The sequence below is a fragment of the Homo sapiens genome, chromosome 9, assembly GCF_000001405.40.
Source record: "Homo sapiens chromosome 9, GRCh38.p14 Primary Assembly".
NCBI lineage: Eukaryota > Metazoa > Chordata > Mammalia > Primates > Hominidae > Homo > Homo sapiens.
This window is the reverse complement of record NC_000009.12, coordinates 21,266,905-21,289,557: the sequence shown is the minus strand read 5'-3', so window position 1 is coordinate 21,289,557 and position 22,653 is coordinate 21,266,905. Positions and strand designations below refer to the sequence as shown.

The 22,653-nt window shown below is 37.0% G+C and overlaps 1 long non-coding RNA gene and 1 pseudogene across 2 annotated transcripts in view; one reads left to right on the top strand and one right to left on the bottom strand.

Annotated features, from left to right (window-relative positions):
• Positions 1–21,969, bottom strand: part of LOC107987053 (uncharacterized) — a 69,713-nt gene extending 47,744 nt beyond the window's left edge. The window contains exons 1-2 of the long non-coding RNA XR_001746634.2: positions 21,824–21,969; positions 20,602–20,926 (exon numbers count right to left, since the gene is read on the bottom strand). This is a non-coding gene — a long non-coding RNA (uncharacterized LOC107987053). The remainder of the gene's footprint in view (positions 1–20,601; positions 20,927–21,823) is intronic.
• Positions 10,995–11,870, top strand: IFNA22P (interferon alpha 22, pseudogene; annotated as a pseudogene). Its single transcript, NR_036676.1, has one exon. The product of NR_036676.1 is annotated as an interferon alpha 22, pseudogene (transcript).
• Positions 21,970–22,653: the final 684 nt, after the last annotated feature.

The window sequence follows — 22,653 nt, the reverse complement described above, 5'->3', positions numbered from 1 at the left end:
TAATCCTTAGACTTTGTTTTTCCATTGGGAGGACAGATCTACTCCCTTATAATTTTTTTTTAAATTGTCTACTTAGAATCTAAAGTCAGTCAGTTAAATTTACTTGTAACATCTTTGTTGCCCTTGTTCGTATCTATTCCTTGGCTGTTTAACAGGCCCTTTTGCACAAGCCAGTGATCTCAACCCTCCGTAAGGGTTTCACCTTGGATTGCTGGCATGTTTAGAACAGTTCATCCGTCCAGATTTTACACAATGAGTGTAATACAAATAAAGGTTTGTTGAAAATGATTGAATTAATTTTTTAAAATTTCTATTTTTCTTTTTAATAATTGACAGATAATTGTATCTATTAATGGCAAACATAGTGATGTTTTAATACTCACGTAGTGATCAGATCAGGGTAATTAGCATATCCATCATCTCAAACATTTATCATTTCTTTGTGTTGGGAACAGTCCTCCAAGTGTCCTCCTTCTAGCTATTTACAGCTATATAATATGTTACTGTAAACTAGATCCTACAGTGGTATAAAACAGTGGTCCCCAAACCTTTTTGGCACCAGAGACTGGGTTTGCAGAAGGCAATTTTCCCACTTCCACAAACTGGGGCGTGGTGGTTTTGGAACAAAACTGTTCCACCTCAGCTCATCAGGCATTACTTAGATTCTCATAAGGAGCACACAACTAGATTCCTGGCATGCGCTGTTCACAATAGGGTTTGATCCATGAGAATCTGATGCCATGGCTGATCTGACAGAAGGCAGAGCTCAGGCAGTAATGCTTGCTCGCTCATGGCTCATCTCCTGCTGCACTGCACTGTGGCCCAGTTCCTAACAGGCCATGGACCGGTACCAGTCTATGGCCTGGGGGTTGGGGACTCCTGGTATAAAACACTAGACCTTAACTTCCTATCTAGCTGTAATTTCGTCCTTTATCACATTTACCATTTGCCCCAAGAAATGAGTGCTGGTCATAAGCTGCACTGTTTTCTAAATGGGAAATTGGTTAACAAATTTCTCACTGTCACTTCCTTGCTTCTGGTAGCCTCTGTGTTCTACTTTTTACTTCTATGAAATCAACTTTTTTTTGAGCTTCCAGATATGAGTTAAAACATGCAGTATTTAATGTTCTGCTCCTGCCTCATTTCTCTAAACATAATGTCCTCAGTTCCATTCATGTTGCCACAAATGACAGGAATTCATTCTTTTCATGGCTGAATAGTATTTCATTCTTTATATGTACCACATTTTGTTTATCCATTCATCTGTTGTTGGCAAACTAGGTTAATTTCACATCTTGGCTATCAGGAAGAATGCTTCAATAAACATGGGGATGCAGATGTCTCTTATATATAACGATTTTCTTTCCTTTGGATAAATGTCCATTCATGTTACTGCAAATGACTGAATCTCACTCTCTTTTATGGCTGAATAGTACTGTCTTTTTCCTCAGGATTCTTTGTCTATTAGTGGTCTTTTGTGGTTCCATAAAATTTTTAGAATTTGTTCATTTCTATAGAAAATGTCATCGGTATTTTGTTAGGGATTGCATTGCATTGAATCTGTAGTTTGCTTTCAGTGGTAGTCTCATTTTAACAATATTAATTCTTCCAAGCTGCGAGTACGAGATGTCTTTCTACTTGTTTATATCCTCTTAAATTTCTTTCATTAGTGTTTTGAAATTTAGCTTCTGGAGCTCTTTAACTTCCTGGTTTAGACATATTACTGGGCGTTTTATTACTTTTTTATGGCTACTGAAATCAGGAAGCCTTCTTGATTTTTTTTCCAGCTAGTTTTTCATGTGCAGAGACACCACTGATTTTTGTATGTTAATTTTGTATCTTGCAAAGTTACTGAATTCATTTATCAGTTCTAAGGGTTATTTTGGTAGCATCTTTAGGTTTTTCTAGATATAAGATTATGTCACCTGCAAACAGAGACAACTTGACTTCTTCCTTTCCAACCTGGACGCCCTGCACCCAAATCTTTAGGTTTTACTATAAGTAAAATTATGTCATCTGCAAACAGAGACAATTTGACTTCCTCTTTCTAACTTGGATGCCCTGCACCCAGGTCTTGGGTCTGCAAAACAGCCCCTTGGGCTACCTATATCAGATTCACCAGCAGGCTGGCTGAGCAGCACCGTGCCTAGTGCTGGGACCTTAGTGTCCCAGACTTTAGAACACTGGATGGTCCATATTAAGCATGCAATAAAACTCAGTGTTACATTAAGAGCAGCTATTTTTTGGCTTACCTAATCCCCCGTCTTTTAATTCTAGGTGTCTAAAAGCAAGCATTTCATTGCCTGAGTGGATTTGTTAACCAGGTAGAATATTCAGGCAAGGCTAATATCCATTATTCTGCCAAAGAGCATCCTGAGCACCCTAAAGATGGAGCCATTTTCCTGCCTTTGTGTGTGTCAACATTGGCCTTCATTCGTCCCTGCTGCCAGAGTCCCTACTTCCCAATTTTGCTGCATTATATTTTGTGAACTTACACTTGGTGATTGTGTAGGTGGAAAATCACTTCTCTTCTTTCACTTTAATGACAAAAAAACTCAATATCACTGGTCATTAGAGAAATTCAAATTAAAACACAATGAATACTATTTCACACCAATCAGAATGGCTATTATTAAGATGTCAAAAAATAAGTGCTGGTGAGGTTGCGGAGAAAAGGGAACAATTATTCACTGTCGGTGGGAATGTAAATTAGTTCAGCCGTTGTTGAAAGCAGTGTGGCAATCCCTCAAAGAGCTAAAAGCAGAACTGTCATTCAACTGAGGAATCCCATTACTGAGTATATACCTAGAGGAATATAAATCATTCTACCATAGAGACACATGCACGCAAATGCTCCTTGCAGCACTATTCACGATAGCAAAGACATGGAATCAACCTAGATGTCCATCAATGACAGACTGGATAAAGAAAATGTGGTACATATGCACCATGGAATACTATGCAGCCATAAAAAAGAACAAGATTATGTCTTTTGCGGGAACATGGATGGAGCTGGCGGCTATTATCCTTAGCCAACTAATTCAGGAACAGAAAACCAAATACTGCATGTTCTCACTTATAAGTGGGAGCTAAATGACAAGAACTTACGAACACAAAGAAGAAAACAATAGACACTTGGGTATACTTGAGGGTCGGGGGTGAGAGGAAGGAGAGGAGCAGAAAAGATAACTATTGGGTACTGGGCTTAATACCTGAGCGATGAAAAGATGTATACAACAAACCCTCGTGACACGTGTTTACCTATGTAGACATGTGTTCACATGTATACCCAAACCTAAAATAAAGGTTAAAAATGAAATTAAAAAAAGAAATACTGCAAAAAGAACTAAAGGACAATGATGTGTATATATAACAAAAATTTTAGCTATGAATCATGTTGGAAAAAAAAACAATAGTAGACATCCTTTCTAAGGTGACTGGAAAACAATGTAAGTGTAGAAATCTCATTGACAATTGAGTATATTGGTCTAGAATTAATGATAAATGCACATGGGTGGAGGTATAAATTGTGACTTGTATTGCATATCTGGTAATGAGAGCATGGGAATGCAGAAAATATTTGTTTGATGGAGTCATCTGTAGTCTGTCAAACTATCTGATACCAGTGTCAGGAGGATATAAGGTTACATCTCACTACTTTCTCAGTTATATTCACACTTAGTAAACTGAGGAAGTGCTTAGGTAATGGTAAGAAAGCTAGGGAATATTTTGAGCACACCTGAAACCACCTAATACAGGAATATCTTACTGACAGAAGTAACCTATGCCCTGCCAAAGGGGGTTGAGTCGGGAAGAGTTGGATGTCAGGACACATGGCTGTGTGCATATTGTATTGATCAAGCTAGACTTTGTCACTTCAGAACATAGGGTGTCATTAGAGACATGACAATTACTTTTGAGGTGAGATGGTGCCATGAAAAGATGAAAATAATGCTGGTTTTGGAATTTAAATTCCCTCACCCATTATACCTGAAAATAACTAGGATTTGCACAATGAATATTGGCACCAACTGAAAGAGTCATTATACCAATAAGAAAAGAGTGGAAGAGAGAGCCACCTCTACTACAATCCTGGACACTTGTCCCAGGTGCAGGCCTTCCAGAAGTGAAAACTATTGTGTTCCTGATTTAAAAGGGAAACATGGTAAAAGATCTTCAGATAGCTTGAGGACCAAGATTCACACACTACACATGTAGCCAGGCCAGTAGCACCTACAAGATTTTCAGTGGCCTCCTCCATCTTTATAACAATGGTGCTAGCAATGTTCTTAGGCCTCCCTGCAGCATTCATGGCTGTGAACCACCAAAGAGCCAAGGTTTGATCAGCAGGGGAATATTTATGCTTCAGAGACAATGAGGAGACTTTCTTTCCTCCTGTCTAATGAACAGATATGACTTTGTACTTCCTGGGGGCAGTACAAAGGAACTGGATGGAGCCAGTTACAGAAGGCTGAGGCCACTGCTTTACTCCTTGAGGTGCTGTAGCAAATCTTTAATCTCTTCAGTGCAGAGGATGCCGTTGCTGCTTTGAATGAGACACTTGGTGGAAATTCCTCCCTGCATATCAGCACCAGCAGAAAGACTTGAAGACCTATTGAAATCAGGAGAAAACAGTAGAAGAAATCTCTGAGCTAAGTGAATACTTCCTGATGGCTATGAAGAGGTACTTCAAGGAACCAGTCTCTATCTAAAAGAAAAGGAATACAATGAGGCTGGGCATGGTGGCTTACCCCTGTAATCTCAGAACTTTGGGAGGCCAAGGTGGGCAGATCATTTGAGGTCAGGAGTTTGAGACCACCCTGATCAACATAGTGAAATCCTGTCTCCACTAAAACTACAAAAATAAATAAATAAATAAATAAAATAGCCGGGTATGCGGATGCACACCTGTAGTCCCAGCTGCTCGGGAGGCTGAGGCAGGAGAATCGCTTGAACCTGGCAGGTGGAGGTGGCAGTGAGCCAAGATCACACCACTGCACTCCAGCCTGGGTGACAGAGCGAGACTCTGTCTCAAAAAAAAAAAAAAAAAAAAAAAGAAAGAAAGAAAGAAAGAAAAGAAAAAAATACAATGAATGTGCCTAAGTTGTTGTCAGTAAAATATAAGACCCAGTTGTCTTTATCATAAATATGTTAAGAAAAGCCAAAATTTAGATGACCTTGTGTTTGGCAATGACTTTAGATAGAACAACAAAGACATGATCCATGATCTATTAGAGAATAAATTTGTAAACTGGATTTCATTAAAATTAAAAACTTATGCTTTTCAAAAGATGCTGTCAAGAGAATATGAAAAGCTACATATTGGGAGAAATATGTTTTCAAGGACATATCTGATAAATGGCTGTTATCTCAAATACGCAAAGAGTGGTACGTATACACAATGGAGTACTATAAAGCCATAAAAAGAATGAGATCCTGTCATTTAAAACAACAGATTCTGTATACCAAGGCAATTTTCACGGTATACAATGGCAAAAACTTTTTGTTCACCTTTAAAGTTACAGGAAAACTTGAGGTAAAAATAAATGAACTATAATTCTGTCCATTTGTTAAAACCTGTGGAACTATGCACCAAAAGGTGTGAATTTTACTGTATGTAAATTTTTAAAAACTCAACCACATTGGCAGTAGATACCAGGATTGAATCTAGATGATGACAAATTAATGTAATTGATGTATGACATAACCACTCTGAAAGTGACAAATACTCTGTCTAGCCATGTGGTGACTAGATACTTTAAGGTGAAACACAAAAGGGTTGTACACAAACACTGTATGCTAGTTGGTAGAATTGTTTCTCACAGAAATTCTAGTTAGTAGTTCCGAAACATTATGTGTATTATTAGACTTGAGTAAATAGGTAAAAATATTGTTACTAACAAAAACCAAGTATCTCAGAGTTGGAAAAAGAAGTTTCAAATAATGAAAATGGAAAGGCTAGAATTAACCTTATTGTGCTGGATTAGAATCAAAGATATTTGTATAGTCTCATGTTTGCTTTAGTCTTTACTTAGATATAGGTGTGGACAGAAATAAATATAGGTATGTGTATATAAAAAATTAGTATACGTATATGTACTACTTATATTCCTATCTCTGTCACTGAGAGGACCTAAAAGCAGTGACATCCTAGTACTGCTAAGCACATGTAGCTCTCAGATCTTGTCTTCTAAAATACCAATCTCCAATAAAAGGCATTAATACATCTTGGAGAAATGACTGATTCTTGGTCTGTGTCATGGAAATACAAGGATACTGGAGTATCTTGTGGTGCCAGAAGATGAAGAAGTATGCAAAAACAAAATGTATAGGTACATGTCAAAAGGACACAGAAGCCAGCCTTAATGAGCTTCCAATAGCCAAAGCTGGGACAACTAGAGTAACACAATAGATAATGATAGTATTTTATTATCACATAAAGAATGGAATAAATATCCATGAGTTTATACTAATATAAGTAATGAGTAAATAAATACATTTATTGGGAAGGGAGGCCAACTCCATCTTTCAAAAGCATTTCAAATAATAAATGTACAAGGAACGAGGAAAATAGAATATCATAGTCAGAACATCATAAATATAATTGCAACAGGCAAGATCTACTGTTGAATCATAAAATCAATAAGCAAAGCCTTGAAGAGAATGAGGATAACTGCATATCCTCAATGTATCTCCCTCCAAAAGATTTTTAAATTACTGTGAAGCTTTAACACATGTCAACAAAGTCTTTGATACTTCTCTTTCCATGGGGTGGAGCTTAATTTCCCTCCTTTTGAGTGTAAGCTCACATTAGTGACGTGTTACCAATATAAAGAGTATGGAAAGGAAAAATAGCAACTTTGTATTGGAGAAAACAGGCATATCCAAACTTTACCAAGTGAATAAGTTTAATATCAGCAGTAATAAGGCAACATATTGATATATATCTCCTATATCACTTGATGTGACAAGATTCACTCTATTGTATTCATCTTTTACATCTATAATTTTAATATAATAATGAGAAAATGCACTCACATCCAAATTGATGGGCATTCTACAAAAATAATTGACTAATATTCTTTAAAAAGTTTCAAGGTCATGAAAGTCAGGAAAGACTGAGCGTGTATGGCAGATTAGAGAAGAATAAAGAGAAATGACAATGAAATGCAATATGGGATCCTGGAGAGATTCCTTGAATAGGAAAAAGACATCAATAAAAAATTGAGGAAATCTGAGTGAAGTCTGAAGTTTAATTAGGGTTAGTACACCAATCTTGATTTCTTAGTTTTGATAGTTGTGCCATGGCTATGTAAGCTGTTAACCTTAGGAGAAGTGAGTGAAGGGAATAGAGGACTCTCTGTACTACATTTACAACTCTGCATATCTAAAATTGTTTCAAAATAAAAGTTAAAAAGTCCAAAATTCTTATACAGATGATTTAAATTTTTACTAGTGTATTTCATTAATTGAAATCATCATTAAATTCCCATTTTTCCATAAAAGATGTAAAATTTCATATGCCATTTTAAGTGTTTAGAAGATAGTTCTGTCTCTTACTCTTTATCCCTTTAGGGTTCTGAAAGGCTCTCTTCTTCACCAAATGTTAGTCAGGCTCCTCTGAGCTCTCTTTTTGAATAGACCATGTCTTGGAGTCCACTCTTAGTTCTGCCTGGTCCAGATGTAGCAAGAATCTTCCTAAGTCAGTTTTATGAGAATTCCTGTACCCTAGATATCTGACTGCCCTGGCTTTACTTTGGCAAAAATTCTGTTAAGTTGATTTAGCAAGGATTTTCTTAGTGATTTTCTATCCATAGACTTTCTCATTCTGCTTGTTGGCTACAAATCCAAGGCTGTCTTTGTTATATTCAGAATTGAGTTCAGATTGATCTCTCTCCCCTATTGTGATAGTTTTGGCATCTGTTGCAAGAGTCCTAAATTAAGTCTTCCTTACCGTAATACCAAGTGTCAGCATAATGTTTTTGTTTACCAGTTCCTCAAAGTAAGTCAGCGCAATCAACACAGCAGCAAACTCAGCTGACCTACAACATAAAAGGCATCAACCAGCTGAAAAGTCAGGTGATTCAGAATCTTTTGTCATCTCAGTCCTCCTCCTCTAATGCACTGGACTTCCCCATTTCCCCAGAAGTGTTTCTATTTCCACACCTTTAATCTCCTTAGAGAGCCCTTCCAGATGAGCCTTCCCTGAACTCTGCACCTTACCTTGGTTTAGTTCTAATTTAGCTCATTTCAATATCCTGATCATGACTTAGTCTTAATTAGGATTGCACTAAACAGGTAGAAATCTAAAGCACTATGGATATTTGAATAACTGAGTAGAAATATGTAGGGTTTCAAACAATTGCTTATGAATATATTTACTGCAATGAACCAAGTGTTTGACAAATACATTCAAGCATATAAAATATAATCTCAAGGAAACAAAACTAGAATATAATGTGTAAGCAAAATGGGACCCAATTTAATTGTAATGTAACATGTTGGCATGATCAAATGGGGAATTTCAGTGAAGAAGACTAGTAAACAGCTGAAGAGAAAGACTCTGTCATTACCTAGGCAGGACTCTACTGGGAAAATATTGATCAATCTAGAAATCGCTCTAGTTCTTATGACCAGAAATATTCCTGGGAGCATGTAAGAACTGAGGGCTCAGTCAGATTTTGGGTTCAAACAATGGCTTCATAATTTGATAGTTCCTTATACTTCTATTTTTTATTTTGTAAATAGGAATAACAGTAGAACCTATCAGTCTTCTTTGGTCACTGATATCTCCAGTGAATTAATGGGGGTAGACACATGGTAGGTGTTCAGTTAATATGAAAAATAAGAGTATTCATTATTGGTAAAGGGAGCATCAATTTTGTAAGTGCTAAGAACAATGTCTGACTAAAAATAAACACATTCAACAATTTAGGTATTTGGTTCCTTTTAATCACTATTTTTATTATCGAACTTTACTAGGTTGCAGAAAGTGTCCTTTGACATTATCAATTCCCTTGTTTCTTGTAAGAGATGTGATAAGAAAAATATTGATCTCTTGAGTTTATTTATACACTAAGGGAGAACTTGGTACATCATCACTTACCTATTATGCAGAGAGTATATTGTACTCTCAAATTTTTGCCTTTTTTATGTATAAACTCTTGTGGTTGGTGTGTGTCCCATGACTCTCTGTGAAGGCTGGATTCAGCAAAGCTGAAAACACACCCCTGACCAGGAATGATTACTATTCTTCCAGCCCATGCTCATTTGCTCCCTTTGATCTACATCTCTTCCACAATTTTGCTTCTGCTCTTCCCCTTCCTTTAATTTCCATCGTGACTGGAATTAATGTAGGTAAATTCTATTTCATCATTATTTTTTTCCATTAAGATATTTTTTCCTTTTAACATTTTAATCACATTTAGATACACGTTTGTTTTCTTCTTGTCTCCATTCTTTAGGATGCAAAAGTAACAACTTTTGTTTTCAATGAAAATGAAAATTAGAAACAAATATCTCTGGTGTCTGGCATGGCATGTAAAACAATTGTACAGCCCATATATGTTATCACATTTACCTCCCATCATGAACATTTAGGACAAAAATTGTTTCATTTAGTTAGATAAGAATCAACTAGTATTGGAACCTTTGCAGGTTCTTTGGAAATTTGAATTTTAATGTACAAATTTTTTTAATCCAACTGATTTTTTCTCAATTGTGTAGTCTCATTGGGTATGATATTGCTCTCAAAGGAACAATAAGTTAATTCTTGGGAGCAGGAACAAATCTTACCTATTTCAATGGTTTGTGGCCCTTTAAAGCTCAACTCTATCTGAAAAAAAACTTATCCCTTAGCATTTTTTAATTGAGTATTCTTGTGTATCACATGAGAAGCATTGACATTGAGTCCATGGAAGATACACAAAAGGTATATAAGATCAGTGCTGCAAACCTATGGCAAATGGGTGCTGTGAGTAGAGGACATTTCAAGGTTTACTAGATGACTAAGTCATATCATGAGAGGTGTCCACTGCATACATATGTGCTGTCATTTGCCATCTCGTGGATGTTGCTTATGTCTGATCCTTAGCAATTCTGAACGTGTTGTGGGCTTTGAGAATTAAAAATACTTTATATTATATTATTTAATTATACTGATATTGTTCAACACATCATTAATTGTCTCAGCACTGAAAAGAGAACAATCTTGACAATATCTGGATGAATATCTAGCAGCTACTGAAGTCAAAAGTTTTCCCCATGAAGCAAAATTAAAAGTTAAGTGCACTAACAGTTAATGTTAAAAAATAATTTAAATTTTAAGTCTTTAGCAGGTTTGAATGACTTTTAAGTATTTTATTATATTAGGTATTATTATTTGTTTTTATAACTTGTTAATTTGGTCATGTAATTTGACACATTACAATTTATATAAGTGAATAAATTATATAAAAATCACTTTAAAATTTAGATATGGAGTTAAGTTAAATATTCATGGGTTTTAAATTTAACTATTAACTTTTAGCTTAAAATGTTTAGTCATTCTTAACCCTCCATTGAATAAAAACATTAAACTTTATACTGCTTATATATAGAGATGTGTGCATAGAACATCAGCAGATATATAGTATATCTATGTTATTAAATATTAGTGGGAATTTGAATTACAGAGACATTTCTAAAAAGACTATGGGGAAGGAGAAGAGGAGGTAATAATGAAAAAGAAGTAGTTAAGAAACTGCTCTACAGCCCTGTAGAGAGAGCATAAAGGAAAACAAAAACAGAAATAGAAAATAAGAGAGGGGGCATTCAGAAAATAGAAACTAGTGTGTTCCCTATTTAAGGTTACGTACAAAATAAGGTCTTCAGATAACCTAAAATCCAGAGTTCAGAGTCACTCTCTCAGCCAGCCCAGTAGCATCTGAAACATCCCCAATGGACTTGCCCTTTAGTTTACTGATGGCTATGATGGTGCTCAGCTGCAAGTCCATCTGCCTCTGGGCTGTGATCTGCCTCAGGCCCACAGCGTGGGTAACAGGAGGGCCTTCATACTCCTGACACAAATGAGGAGAATCTCTCCTTTTTCTTACTTGAAGGACAGACATGACTTTGATTTTCCATCATCAGGTGTTTCATGGCAACCACTTCCAGAAGGTTCAAGCTATCTTCCTTTTCCATGAGATGATGCAGCAGACCTTCAACCTCTTCAGCACAAAGGACTCATCTGATACTTGGGATGCGACCCTTTTAGACAAATTCTACACTGAACTTTACCAGCAGCTGAATGACCTGGAAGCCTGTGTGATGTAGAAGGTTGGAGTGGAAGAGACTCCCCTGAGGAATGTGGACTCCATCCTGGCTGTGAGAAAATACTTTCAAAGAATCACTCTTTATCTGACAAAGAAGAAGTATAGCCCTTGTTCCTGGGAGGCTGTCAGAGCAGAAATCATGAGATCCTTCTCTTTATGAACGAACTTGCAGGAAAGATTAAGGAGGAAGGAATGAAAACTGGTTCAACATGGAAATGAGAAACATTTCCATGATTAATACATCATCTCACACGTTCATGAATTCTGCCATTTCTCATTTTTGCTATATCCATGACATGAGTTGAATCAAAATTTTAAAATGTTTTCAGGAATGTTAAGCAGCATCATGTTCAGCTGTACAGGCACTAGTTCCTTACGGATGATCATGCTGATGGATCTGTTTATCTATTTGTCTAAATAATTATTTAACTATTTATACTATTTAAAATCTTCTTTTCATGTATCATGTATTTTTACTTTGTGGTTAATATAACAATACATGTTCTTTATATTTAGTCAATATATTACTTTGCTTTTTTCATTAAATTTTTACTATGGAAAACTCCTTGTATTTGTTTATTCTTTAAAATGAAACTCCAAGCCTGATTATTTAACCTGATTAAAAAATAGATTATACGATTCAGTTACCTATTATTGGTTATAAGTCAAAATAGATTTTTCTATACCAGATTGTATGTTGTATGTTGCCTTCAGGATATAAAATTGAAAAAACAAATACATTTCCTGTTCTCATGTACCTTTGATTTTTGTGAGGAAAGAAACTTATAAACAATAATCGTTCTCAATTGATATCAGTTATGTTAAATGCTATAATGTGAGATAGGAAAAAAAAAACAATGAATTTCTCATAGAAGAGGATGGATTTAGGCATTCCAGAAATAAAAATAAAAGAAGCAATATCCTCAATAAATTGACTTCTAAACATACAATTGCAAATGTGTATTTCCAGTCAGATATATGAATTTGCAATTTTCAAGAAATACAATGCCTGAAGGTTCATAACTGGCAATGGAAAGCCCAAAAATAGAGGCAGTCATGTGGAGAGGAAAAAGAAAAGTAAAGGAAAAAAGAACCTAAAATTGATTCTGAGGACCTTCCACCTTTAAAGAGAGGGGATATAAGAGACACAAAGGAAGCAAGGGTGGAAAACTGTACATTAGTGAAGGAAAGACTTAATGGTGATAAATGTGTGTCTTGAAAATAAATGTATTTAGAAGAAGAATCAATAGACTTGGGGGAAATATGGATTAAAACTGTCCACTACATCAGAAAAATAAATGGCAGTGGAGATCTTAGTGAGAGCTGCATTGGTAGAATTAATCACTATAAACCGTATTGCAGTAGGTGGAAGCATGAATCAAAGAAGGGAAATCTGTGACAAAATAGATAAGAAATAGTTGTGAGAGGTTTCCCTTTAAGATAAAGGAAAGAAATAAGGTTAGACATGAAAAAAAAAGTGGATCACATTTCATTTTACCTGCATGGTTTATCCGTTTGAAAATATATATGTCTGCAGATTGATTTCATGCATTGAAAAGCTGTTAATATACTTAATATTTTATAATATCAAATTATAACATATAAAGTTGCAATAATTATAATTTTGATTAGTACTATGTTAATTGTCAGTAAAACCTGACAAACTTCCTTCATAAAATAAAATGGAAAACTGGATGAAAGAATCGCTTTCTCAACGCTTTAAGAAAACAAAAAAAGATTGGTCACAAGTATCAATAGCCAAATCAATCAAGTGGAAGAAACGATATCAGAGATTGAAGATCAACTTAATGAAATAAAGTGTGAAGGCAAGATTAGAGAAAAAAGAATGAAAAGAAATGAACAGACTCTAAGAAATATGGGACTACGTGAAAAGACCAAACGTACGTTTGATTCGTGTACCTAAAAGTGAAGGGGAGAATGGAACCAAGTTGGGAAACACTCTTCAGGATATTACCCAGGAGAACTTCCCCAACCTGGCAAGACAGGTCAACATTCAAATTCAGGAAACACAGAGAACACCACAAAGGTACTCCTTGAGAAAAGCAAACTCAATACACATAATCGTCAGATTCACCAAGGCTGAAATGAAGGAAAAAATGTTGAGGGCAGCCAGAGAGAAAGGTCGGATTACCCAAAAAGAGAAGCCCATCAGATCAACAGTGCATCTCTCTGCAGAAACTCTACAAGCCAGTAAAGAGTGGGGCCCAATATTCAACATTCTTAAAAGAATTTTCAACCCAGAATTTCATATTCAGTCAATCTAAGCTTCATAAGCAAAGGAGAAATAAAATTCATTACAGAAAAGCAAATGCTGAGAGATTTTGTCACCACTAGGCCTGCCCTACAAGAGCTCCTGAAGGAAGCACTAAATATGAAAAGGAAAAACCAGTACCAGTCACTACAAAAACATATCAAATTGTGAAGACCATTGAAACTATGAAGAAACTGCATCAACTAATGGGCAAAATAACCAGCTAGCATCATTATGACAGGATCAAATGCACACATAACAATATTAACCTTAAATGTAAATGGGAAAAATGCCCCAATTAAAAGACACAGACTGGCAAATTGGATAGAGTCAAGACCCATCGGTGTGCTGTATTCAGGAGACCCATCTCACATGCAAAGACACATAAACTCAAAATAAAGGGATGGAGGAATATTTACCAAGCAAATGGAAAGCAAAAAAAAAAAAAAAAAAAAAAAAAAAGCTGGGGTTGCAATTCTGGTCTCTGATAAAACAGACTTTAAACCAACAAAGATCAAAAAGAAAAAGAAGACAAAGAAGGGCTTTACATAATGTTAAAGGGATCAATGCAACAAGAAGAGCTAACTATTCTAACTATATATGCACCCAATACTGGAGCACCCAGATTCATAAAGCAAGTTCTTAGAGACCTACAAAGAGGTTTAGACTCCCACACAATAATAGTGGGAGAATTTAACACCCCACTGTCAATATTAGACAGATCAACAAGACAGAAAATTAACAAGGATATTCAGGACTTGAACTCAGCTCTGGACCAAGCAGACCTAATAGACATCTGCAGAACTTTCCACCCCAAATTAACAGAATACACATTCTTCTCAGCATCACGTCACACTTATTCTAAAATTGACCACATAATTGGAAATAAAACACTCCTCAGTAAACGCAAAAGAATGGAAATCAAAACAAACAGTCTCTCAGACCACAATGCAATCAAGTTAGAACTCGGGATTAAGAAACTCACTCAAAACCCCACAACTACATGGAAACTGAACAACCTGCTCCTGAATGGCTACTGGATAAATAATGAAATTAAGGCAGAAGTACATAAGTTCTTTGAAACCAATTAGAACAAAGACACAGTGTACCAGAATCTCTGAAACACGGCTAAAACAGTGTTTAGAGGAAAATTTATAGCACTAAATGCCCACAGGAGAAAGCAGGAAGGATCTAAAATCGACACCCTAACATCACAATTAAAAGAACTAGAGAAACAGGAGCAAACAAATTCAAATGCTAGCAGAAAACAACAAATAACTAAGATCAGAGTGTAACTGAAGGAGATAGAGACACGAAAAACCCTTCAAAGAATCAGTAAATCCAGGAGCTGGTTTTTTGGACAGATTAACAAAATAGATAGACCGCTGGCCAGACTAACAAAGAAGAAAAGAGAGAAGAATCAAATAGACACAATAAAAAATGATAAAGAGGATATCATCACTGATCCCACAGAAATACAAACTACCATCAGAGAATACTATAAACACCTCTGTGCAAATAAACTAGAAAATCTAGAAGAAATGGATAAATTCCTGGACACACACACCCTCCCAAGACTAAACTAGGAAGAAGTTGAATCCCATTTCAGCTTTCTACATATGGCTAGCCAGTTTTCCTAGCACCATTTATTAAACAGGGAATCCTTTCTCCATTTCTTGTTTTCGTCAGGTTTGTCAAAGATCAGATGGTTGTAGATGTGTGGTATTATTTCTGAGGGCTCTGTTCTGTTCCATTGGTCTATATCTCTATTTTGGTACCAGTACCATGCTGTTTTGGTTACTGTAGCCTTGAAGTATAGTTTGAAGTCAGGTAGCGTGATGCCTCCAGCTTTGTTCTTTTGACTTAGGATTGGCTTGGCAATGCGGGCTCTTTTCTGGTTCCATATGAACTTTAAAGTAGTTTTTTCCAATTATGTGAAGAAAGTCATCAGTAGCTTGATGGGGATGGCATTGAATCTATAAATTACCTTGGGCAGTATGGCCATTTTCACGATATTGATTCTTCCTACCCATGAGCATGGAATGTTCTTCCATTTGTTTGTATCCTCTTTTATTTCATTAAGCAGTGGTTTGCAGTTCTCCTTGAAGAGGTGCTTCACATCCCTTGTAAGTTGGATTCCTAGGTATTTTATTCTCTTTGAAGCAATTGTGAATGGGAGTTCACTCATGATTTGGCTCTCTGTCTGTTACTGGTGTACAGGAATGCTTGTGATTTTTGCACATTGATTTTGTATCCTGAGACTGCTTAAGTTGCTTATCAGCTTAAGGAGATTTTGGGCTGAAGTGTTTGGGTTTTCTAAATATGCAATCATGTCTTCTGCAAACAGAGACGATTTGACTTCCTCTTTTCCTAATTGAATACCCTTTATTTCTTTCTCCTGCCTGATTTCCCTGGCCAGAACTTCCAACATTATGTTGAATAGGAGTGGTAAGAGAGGGCAGAACAAAAATTAATTCAAGATGAATTAAAGACTTAAATGTTAGACCTAAAACCATAAAAACCCCAGAAGAAAACCTAGGCAATACCATACAGGACATAGGCATGGGCAAGGACTTCATGACTACAACACCAAAAGCAATGGCAACAAAAGTCAAAATTGACAAATGGGATCTAATTAAACTAAAGAGCTTCTGCACAGCAAAAGAAACTACCATCAGATTGAACAGGCAACCTACAGAATGGGAGAAAATTTTTGCAATCTACCCATCTGACAAAGGGCTAATATCAAGAATCTACAAAGAACTTAAGCAAATTTACAAGAAAAAAATCAAACAACCCCATCAAAAAGTGGGCAAAGGATAGGAACAGACGCTTCTCAAAAAAAGACATTTATGCAGCCAACAAACACATGACAAAATGCTCATCATCACTGGCCATCAGAGAAATGCAAATCAAAACCAAAATGAGATACCATCTCACACCAGTTAGAATGGCGATCATTAAAAAGTCAGGAAGCAACAGGTGCTGGTGAGGATTTGGAGAAATAGGAATACTTTTATACTGTTGGTGGGGCTGTAAACTAGTTCAACCATTGCGGAGGGCAGCATGGCGATCAGAGCTAGAAATACCATTTGAACCAGCCATCCCATTACTGGGTATATACCCAAAGGATTATAAATCATGCTGTTACAAAGACACATGCACACTTATGTTTATTGTGGCACTATTCACAATAGCAAAGACTTAGAGCCAACCCAAATGTCCATCAATGATAGACTGGATTAAGAAAATGTGGCATATATACACCATGGAATACTATGCAGTCATAAAAAAGGAGGAGTTCATGTCATTTGTAGGGACATGGATGACGCTGTAAACCATCATTCTCAGCAAACTATCGCTAGGACAGAAAACCAAACTCTGCATGTTCTCACTCATAGGTGGGAATTGAACAACGAGAACACTTGGACACAGGAAGGGGAACATCACATACTGGGGCCTGTTGTGGGGTTGGGGGAGTGGGGAGGGATAGCATTAGGAGATATACTTAATGTAAATGGCGAGTTAATGGGTGCAGCACACCAACATAGCACATGTATACATATGTAACAAACCTGCACATTGTGCACATGTACCCTAGAACTTAAAGTATAATAAAAAAAAAATTGAAAAAAAAAAGAAGTCGAATCCCTGAGTAGACCAATAACAACTTCTGAAATTGAGGCAGTAATTAATAGATTACCAACAAAAAAAGTCCAGGACAAGACGGATTCACAGCCAAATTGTACCAGAGGTACAAAGAGGAGCTGGTACCATTCCTTCTGAAACTATGCCAAACAATAGAAAAAGAAGGGCTCCTCCCTAACTCATTTTATGAGGTCAGCATCATCCTAATACCAAAAACTGGCAGAGACACATCAAAAAAAAAGAAATGTCAAGTCAATATCTCTGATGAACATCAATGCAAAAATCCTCAATAAAATACTGGGAAACCAAATCCAGCAACACATCAAAGAGCTTATCCACCAAGACCAAGTCGGCTTCATTCCTGGGATGCAAGGCTGGTTCAACATATGCAAATCAATAAACGTAATCCATCACATAAACAGAACCAACGACAAAAACCACATGATTATCTCAATAGATGCAGAAAAGGCCTTGATAAAATTCAACACCCCTTCATGCTAAAAACTCTCAATAAACTAGGTATTGGTGGAATGCATCTCAAAATAATGAGAGCTATTCATGACAAACCCACAGTCAATATCATATGGAATGGGCAAAAGCTGGAAGCATTCCTTTTGAAAACTGGCACAAGACAAGAATGCTCTCTCTCATCACTCCTATTCAACATAGTATTGGAAGTTCTGTCCAGGGCAATCAGGCAAGAGAAAGAAATAAAGAGTGTTCAAATAGGAAGAGAGGAAGTCAAATGGTCTCTATTTGCAGAAGACACGAGTATATATTTAGAAAACCCTATTGTCTCAGTCCAAAATCTCCTTAAGCTGATAAGCAACTTCAGCAAAGTCGCAGGATACAAAATCAATGTGCAAAAATTACAAGCACTCCTATACACCAATAATAGAGAGCCAAATCATGACTGAACTCTCATTCACAATTGCTACAAAGAGAATAAAGTGCCTAGGAATACAACTTACAATGGATGTGAAGGACCTCTTCAAGGAGAACTACAAACCACTGCTCAAGGAAATAGGAGAGGAAACAAACAAGTGGAAAGGACCTCGTCAAGAACTACAAACCACTGCTCAACAAAATAAGACAGGAAACAAACAAGTGGAAAAACATTCCATGCTCATGGATAGGAAGAATCAATAGTGTGAAAATGGCCATACTGCCCAAGGTAATTTATAGATGCTATCCCCATCAAGCTACCTTTCACTTTGTTCACATAATTAGAAAAAACTACTTTAAATTTCTTATGGAACCAAAAAAGAGCCCATATAGTCAAGACAATCCTAAGCAAAAAGAACAAATCTGGAGGCACCACACTACCTAACTTCAAACTATACTTCAAGGCTACAGTAACCAAAACAGCATGGTACTGGTACCAAAACAGATAAATAGAACCATGGAACAGAACAGAGGCCTCAGAAATAATACCACACATCTACAACCATCTGATCTTTGACAAACCTGACAAAAACAATAAATGGGGAAAGGATTCCCTATTTAATACATTGTGTTGGGAAAACTTGCTAGCCATATGCAGAAAACTGAAACTGGACCCCTTCTTTACACCTTGTACAAAAATTAACTCAAGATCGATTAAAGACTTAAATGTAAGACCTAAAACCAAAAAAACCCTAGAAGAAAACCTAGGCGATACCATTCAGGACATAGGCATGGACAAAGACTTCAAGACTAAAACATCAAAAGCAATGGCAACAGAGGCCAAAACTGACAAATGGGATCTAATTAAACTAAAGAGCTTCTGCACAGCAAAAGAAACTATCATCAGAGTGAACAGGCAACCTGCAGAATGGGAGAAAACTGTTGCAATCCATTCATCTGACAAAGAGCTAATATCCAGAATCTACAAGGAACTTAAACAAATTTACAAAAAAAAAAAAAAAAAAAAAAAAAAAACACCAAAAAGGGGGTGAAGGATATGAACACACACTTCGCAAAAGAAGACATTTATGCAGCCAACAGACACATGAAAAAAAAGCTCATCAGCACTGGTCAGTAGAGAAATGCATATCAAAACCACAGTGAGATACAATCTCACGCCAGTTAGAATGGCAATCATTAAAAAAGTCAGGAAACAACAGATGCTGGAGAGGGTGTGGAGAAATAGGAACACTTTTACACTGTTGGTGGGAGTGTAAATTAGGTCAAACATTGTGGAAGACAGTGTGGGGATTCCTCAAGGACCTAGAACCAGAAATACCATTTGACCCAGCAATCCCGTTACTGGGTATATACCCAAAGGATTATAAATCATTCTACTATAAAGACACATGCACACATACGTTTATTGCAACACTGTTCACAATAGCAAAGGCTTGGAACCAACCCAAACGCCCATCAATGATAGACTGCATAAAGAAAATGTGGCACCTATACACCATGGAATACTATGCAGCCATAAAAAGGATGAGTTCATGTCTTTTACAGGGACATGGATGAAGCTGGAAACCATCATTCTCAGCAAATTAACACAGGAACAGAAAACCAAACACCACATGTTGTCACTCATAAATAGGAGTTGAACAATGAGAACACGTGGACGCAGGAAGGGAAACATCACACACTGGAGCCTGTTGGGGGTGGGGGCTAGGGGAAGGATAGCATTAGGAGAAATACCTAATGGAGACGACGAGTTGATGGGTGCAGCAAATCACCATGGCCCATGTATACCTATGTAACAAACCTGCACATTCTGCACATGTATCCCAGAACTTAAAGTATAATAATAAAAAACAAAACAAAACAAAACATAGGGCCCAGGCGCGGTGGCTCACGCCTGCAATCCCAGCATTTTGGGAGGCCGAGGTGGGCGGATCATGAGGTCAGGAGATCGAGACCATCCTGGCTAACGCAGTGAAACCCCTTCTCTACTAAAAATACAAAAAAATTAGCCGGGCGTAGTGGCGGGTTTCTGTAGTCCCAGCTACTTGGGAGGCTGAGGCAGGAGAATGGCGTGAACCCTGGAAGCGGAGCTTGCAGTGAGCCCAGATAGCGTCACTGCACTCCAGCCTGGGTGACAGAGTGAGACTCTGCCTCAAAAAATAAGTAAATAATAAATAAAAATACAAAATAAAATAAAAGATTGGTCAAAATCAGCCGAAAATACAACATGAACCAAGGATATACAGAGAGCAGGAGAGAGTTGTGTATAATCCAGGAATCAAAAGAGAGTTAAAATTATTGCAGAAATTCCCAATACAAAGCTTACACATTAGTTGTAAATAACAATAAAAAATTTAACATTGAAATTTCACTCTGTTTGCATGTATGTGTGATGTTGAAAAAAAGCACTTAATATCTCTGAGCCTCAGTTTCTTATAAATAGAAAGGATTAGAAATACTTACATAGTTGTTGTGATTCTTAAATGAACGCAGGCAGTTGAAAGCAGTTTGCATAGTATTCTCCATAGTGTAAGGATTTAACACATGGCAAGTATTTTTCTATTTTTCTTCACACAGTTGTAGATGAGAATATTATTTGTCTTTCTACAAAATTCATAAGAATTGTGTCCTACCATTCAGTAACTGACTTTCAATGGAGACAGCGTTAAAAAAAAAAAAAAAACAGTATTCTGTCATGAATTCTAGAAAGGTTAAAAATTTGTCGCTCCTCATTTCAAAGAAGTGTCCTATTTGCATTCAGTCAGGAAATGTTGGTTTGTATGAATACCTGAAAGAAAAGAAGCAGCATGTAGATTGAAATGCAGAAGACACATAATGCCTATTAACTGATTCTGGCACCTGGCACGTTCCTTTTCTGGCTCTCAGAATTCCAGCATACGCTCCCATATGAAGTTAGTCTCCTAAACTAAGTGAAATATACATAGTAGCCTTTGCTGGTTCTGAGACCTGGTCCACTTCCCCATTTCCTCTCTGCTTTTCTGGATCCCATTTTTCACTCCCATATCACATTAGATTCCTTTCTCTTCCTCTAGAAATTCCCACTGTGCTCTCCTCTTCACTCTTCATTAGCCTGCAGTGCCTATTCACACAGCTGATTTCTGTTCTCTTGTGGGGTTTGCCCATCACTTTCCCCTTATGAATACAAAACTGCAAATTAAAGCCGACCTTGAGTGAAAGTTCTAGTTTTTTCAGACACTCTTATATAACAGGCTGTTTTTCTTTTCTTAGGAATATTTCTGGAAAAAGAGGGAATGTCCCTTTTATAATGATGTAACAGTAGCTTTGCAAAGGGGAAATAAAAGGCAGGTTCTGTGGAGTCTTAATTCGGAAAAAAGAGTAGGGCTGGTGGGAGCAGGAGAAAGCAAAAAGAGGAAGCAGGTAGAAAACAAGCTTGCTTTTCTTTATAGTCTGGGACACACAGTCCTCCTGCTCAAATCATTCATAATATTTCTGTACCCAGCTATCAGTAGACATCTGCAAGTTAGCTCACTGCAACCTTTGTGTTATCAATACCACACAAAGCCCTCTTCAACAGACAGCATAGATTTTATCCTATAAAATCTCCAGCAAGCCTTTCTCTCCTGGCAGTCAGCTTCTCTTCCACTGGCTGCCTGTTGTCTCTCTGGCAACATATTTTCCTAATAAATTTTCTGCCTTCCTTTACCTACAACTGTCTTGGTAAATCCTTTGAGCCCCATGCCACCAGCACTCAGTCTTCCACAATAGGCTCCATTTTACTCTGAGGCTGTTAAAACATTTACAGGAAAAGAGAGCCACCGATGACCAAAATGCACCAAGACAGCGGCCAAGTCTGTGAGGAGCAGCTTTTCTGCTTATGCAGAAGTGTGTCCCTGGCAGGAGATTTCATTTCAGAGTTAAAAAGAGGCTCTTTCCTGTCAGGAACTGACCCCAGTATGGGAATAAGCACTTTTTCTTAATGTTTGTATCTTAGAGAAAATACTCCCAGCCTCAGGCACATTTTAACTTTTTTTGGCAATGGATGGCTATGTGGGGAAAAAAGGGTCAGGATGTGTTCCTTACCTCCAGCCTGGCCAGCCTCCAAGGGCCTCCTGTTCCATCCCTCCCTCTATGTATTCTGTTATATAAGGAATCAGTACAGCCAGCCAATCTGGGTGCAGAACTCCAATGGAAATCAGGAAAAAAAATCTCATTTGAAGGCACATTAGCTCTTTCTTACAAGTAAGTTGTCAGTTTTAGAAATTCTTTCCTATTCTCAGATTCTGTCCCTTGACTTTACTATCATGAGAAAATTCTCACTCTCACTTTGAATAACAAATGAGCTTGGATCAATTCCACCTTGACTCTGAGTTAGAGCACTGCCATAAGTAAAGAGATTTCAGAGACTATAATGACTCCCAATTGACACCTGTTTGCTACCTATTTGGGTAGAATTGAAGCATACTGAGGTAATCTGCTCAAAATTGTTAACTGAAGAAGTTAATCAGTAAGTGTGTGTAAATTGCCCAGGTGTGA